Source organism: Homo sapiens, chromosome 8, assembly GCF_000001405.40.
Source record: "Homo sapiens chromosome 8, GRCh38.p14 Primary Assembly".
NCBI classification, from domain to species: domain Eukaryota; kingdom Metazoa; phylum Chordata; class Mammalia; order Primates; family Hominidae; genus Homo; species Homo sapiens.
In genome coordinates this window covers 138,933,165-138,937,080 of record NC_000008.11, presented here as the reverse complement: position 1 = coordinate 138,937,080, position 3,916 = coordinate 138,933,165, and the positions used below count along the sequence as shown (strand labels likewise).

At 50.4% G+C, this 3,916-nt stretch overlaps 1 annotated feature.

The window, feature by feature from the left end:
• Positions 601–895: an enhancer, noted in NCBI's record as "tiled region #3511; HepG2 Activating DNase matched - State 12:CtcfO, and K562 Activating non-DNase unmatched - State 20:ReprD". NCBI's record gives its function as "activates a minimal TATA promoter and a strong SV40 promoter by Sharpr-MPRA in HepG2 and K562 cells {active_cell/tissue: HepG2 | K562}" and the evidence as "EXISTENCE:reporter gene assay evidence [ECO:0000049][PMID:27701403]".

Genomic DNA, 3,916 nt, shown 5'->3' with positions numbered 1-3,916 from the left:
ACCCATCATGGCCAGGCAGTGTGGTTGGGGTGGCAGTCGTGGTGGGTGGTGGAGGACGTGGGGCTCACTCCCCCTTCTGCTCAGACCACAGGCAGAAATGGTCTCTGACGGGGGCAGGTGCAGGCAGCCATGCAGAGTCATGAGGGTCATGAAAACCAGGTGGCATTGGGGAGTTCTCAGAAAGAAAGTAATGCCCACACCTAAGGGCATCAGTTCACTCATTGCCTCATCTTTGGAAAACAATGTGCCCATGATCAGGCATTTTATGCTACACGCTCACGCAAAAGACAGCGAGTCAGTCATGGGCTACCTGCCAGATCTGCGGCCCCAGGGCCTGGATGTGCCCTAAGCCCACCCATGACTCACCCGTTAGCATCAGAATCTAAGGCGCAGAGTAGGACAGTGTGGGATGCCGGATGAGCGACAGGAATGAGGTGGCCCATGAGCCATAGTGGATTTCTGGGAAGAGTGGATAATGACTCCAAAGGCATGGGGTGGGAGTCCATTTGGGTCTCCAAAATAAAGCTCATTCACCTCCCTGACCACAATTCACTCTGGCTGAATGCACTTTTCCCCGCCGTTCATACTAATGCCTGTGCTTTGGGGTTTGCAACAAGGATGCCTGCAGACCTTAGACAGCAGTCCTGTGCTTAGGATCCAGGCTGGCTCAGAAAGGGGCCAGAGCCCTGGGCAGGGACGTTACCCCCGCCGCCCGCCAGAGGGCCCACTTCCGTCAGAAATCAGCCCCTGCGGAGGCGCCGGTCGCTGCCCCGAGGCCTAGAAGTGCCCATTTTGTGGCTGCCTCTTGGAAGGCTCTTTGTCTCGCTGCTGCCCTGCTCAGCCCATGTGTCCCCTTAGCACTTTCCTTGGCTTTTTGTGTGGGTCCGGGGAAAGAGCTCCATTCTGGGAGGCTGAGCCACAGTCCCAGATGAGCCTCTCCTGGGTGGCCAGAAGAGACCCCAGGGGCCCCCAAGCAGGAAGAGTTCTCTGCCTGATGCCAGAGTCCCCTCCTCCACATCCTTCCTCAGAGCTTACCTGGCCTTCCTGGGGCAGCTCACTCCCTCTGGAGGCAGCTCCATCCACTGAAAAGTAATGCCAGTCGGCTTTTACTAGGCGCCTGTCATCTGTCACATGGCGTCAGGCACTTTCCTTGCAAGGGGTTTACCCCTGGTGGGATGCTGCTGTTCTTACGTGGTGCTCGTGTGTAGCAGAACAAACACTGAATTAATGATGATGGATGAATAAGCAAATTAACTGATTGCAATCTACATTTTACAGACAAGGACTGGAGGCGTAGAGTTGTTGAATAAATTGCCCTCAGTTACACAGCTAAGAAGGTGAAAATGCTGGAATTCAGATAAAAATTGGTCAGACTCTAAATCCAGGATCTGTGCCTAGCTGTCTGTGATCCCTTGCTCAAACCCTTCCCAGGACATCATAATTAGAAAGTGCTTTCTTCTTCTGAGCCGAAATCTGTCTCCCCGGAGGTTCCATTAATAGGTTCAAGGTTCTTTCCCTTGGTGTCCGAGCAAAAGGAAGCAGCCCAATGCTTTTCCGTATTAGCTTCTTACTTATGTGAAGGAAGTGCCAACCTCTGGGACTTTGATTTTCTACATACAGAATCTGAGGCTCAGAGAGGGGCAGCGATCTTATGAATCACCTGCAAGTTCTGGACCTGCGTTTAGAGTGTTGAGTGCTCATTCATGCAGTTCCCTGGGTTCCCACAGAAGAGAGAAGGTGGATTTTTGAAAAGTGGGATTCAGTGAACAGCATTGCTGCAAAATCACCTAAATCGCCTTCCTGGTATGTGATCCTTGGGTTCTTTTTGTTGATAACAGTACCTTCCAAGAGAAGATTGAGTGGTTCACGAGTAGTTACTCCTCCTGCCCAGTGAACAAGAGGAGATTTGGAGAGAATGGCTGTGGCGTGCAATATACTTTTTGTGCATCAAACTTCTGGGGAAGCAGGGCTGCATCCCAGGAAAGCCGGGAAGGCTGAGGTTGTGAGATGTGATTGGCCTTGGGCAGTGGGTCTTTCTGACTTCTATCAGGGGCATGGGAACTAGAAGTGGCCCTCCTGGAATGCACTGCAGACCGTCGTTTTGTGTCTTTGCATAGCCTGGCTTCTGTGGAAGGTCAATGCCCATCTGCAACACAGCAGCAGGGAGGTGCGGCCTTTGGGCCAGTGTCCTTCCTCAGGAGCAGCTGCATGCATGTCTCTAGCCCATGCCTTTTCCTTCTCATGGTCTCAAAGCTCTGGGTTCCTTCAAGAGGCACTGGGAGGAGCTTGCAGCCCTCTCCTGCCCCTCTACCTGGCAGTCACAAATACTACATCTACACCAGCACAGTCTCATCAGATCTCCGTGGTGTCAAAATTGTTAGGCTGTGCTCTGCACAGTGCTTTATGGAAAACCGCTCCCTGCAGAAATAAGTATAGGAAATACTGCCTGGAGAGTGACATGCCTGGGCGTATATTAATGATGTTTCATGTTCCATTATGAAGAACCTGTTGAAATGTGTTTAACTTGGTATTTCTCAAATCGTCATGTTGTTGTCATTGATTTTCTTCTCTCCTCCCCCTTCTCCCTCCTCCTCTTCCTCTCCCTCCATTTCTTTTTCTTCCCTTCCTCCTCTTCCTTCTTTTTTCATGAAACATCTATTTATATCTCGTAGGAGATAGTTTTGAAAATATTTCTCTGACCCATTTCTGACAGGGAGGAGATTGAGGAGATGAACTCTTTCTTTTCTTTCTTTCTTTCTTTTTTTTTTTAAGATGGAGTTTCACTCTTTTTGCCCAGGCTGGAGTGCAATGGCGTGATCTCGGCTCACCGCAACCTCCACCTCCCGGGTTCAAGTGATTCTCCTGTCTCAGTCTCCCGAGTAACTGGGATTACAGGCGTGCGCCACAATCCCTGGCTAATTTTTTGTATTTTTAGTAGAGATGGGTTTCAACATGTTGGCCAGACTGGTCTCAAACTCATGACCTCAGGCCTCCCAAAGTGCGGGGATTACAGGCTGTTTAATGATGTGAGCCACTACCCCCGGCTGGAGATGAACACTTTCCCCAGTACAGGAGTCTGGAAACCAACTGCCTCCTGCCTGGAATCTGAGACAGGGATGGAAAAGCAGGGATGGGGAGGAGGGGATGGAGACGGAGGGAGCCCGGGGTATCTGCATGCCAAATCCGTGCCCTGTCGCCTCCATCTTGTTCAGAATTGGAATTTCTGCCTCAGTTTCCTGTTCAATACTTGAGCTCCTGTCTGCGACTGGAGGCTATATGACTGTCTGACTCTGTCCTAAACCAAATATTTGGAAGCTCCTCTGCCCTGTGGACTCCAGGCATTTCTCCAGTCCATGACTCCTTGCTGTCGGTCACTCCTACCCACCTGGAGAGGATTTCTTATCTTATTAAAGTAAGAGCTGCAGTATGTTCTAGATGTTTTAATTGAATGCAATCCTTGTAAAAATAATGACTATTTCCCAGTACTAGCTTTATTTTCCAGATGAGGAAACGGAAGTTCAGAATGTGCAAGCCACTTGCCCCAAGTCATCCAGCAGAGGTAGATGTGTGAGTGCCTGCTGTATCAGCCTGCGGGGAAGGCTGTAGTTCAGCACTGGGAGCGGCAGCAGGGTGGTCTCAAGGCCATCACACAGGGCTGCCCATGCCTAGAGGGGCTCTTAGTTGGTTGAATACTCTGCCATCATTGGCAATGCTTACGAGTGTTGTCATTAAACTTGCATCTTGCAAGTAAAGTCTGCTAAGTCAATGGAGCATGCAAGTGAACACAGATCTGCCCACATTTCAGCCTCTCCCCTTACTTTTCTGTTTTTGTTGTTGTTGTTGTTTTTTGTGAGACGGAGTCTGGCTCTGCTGTCAGGCTGGAGTGCAGTGGTGTGATCTCAGCTCACTGCAGCCT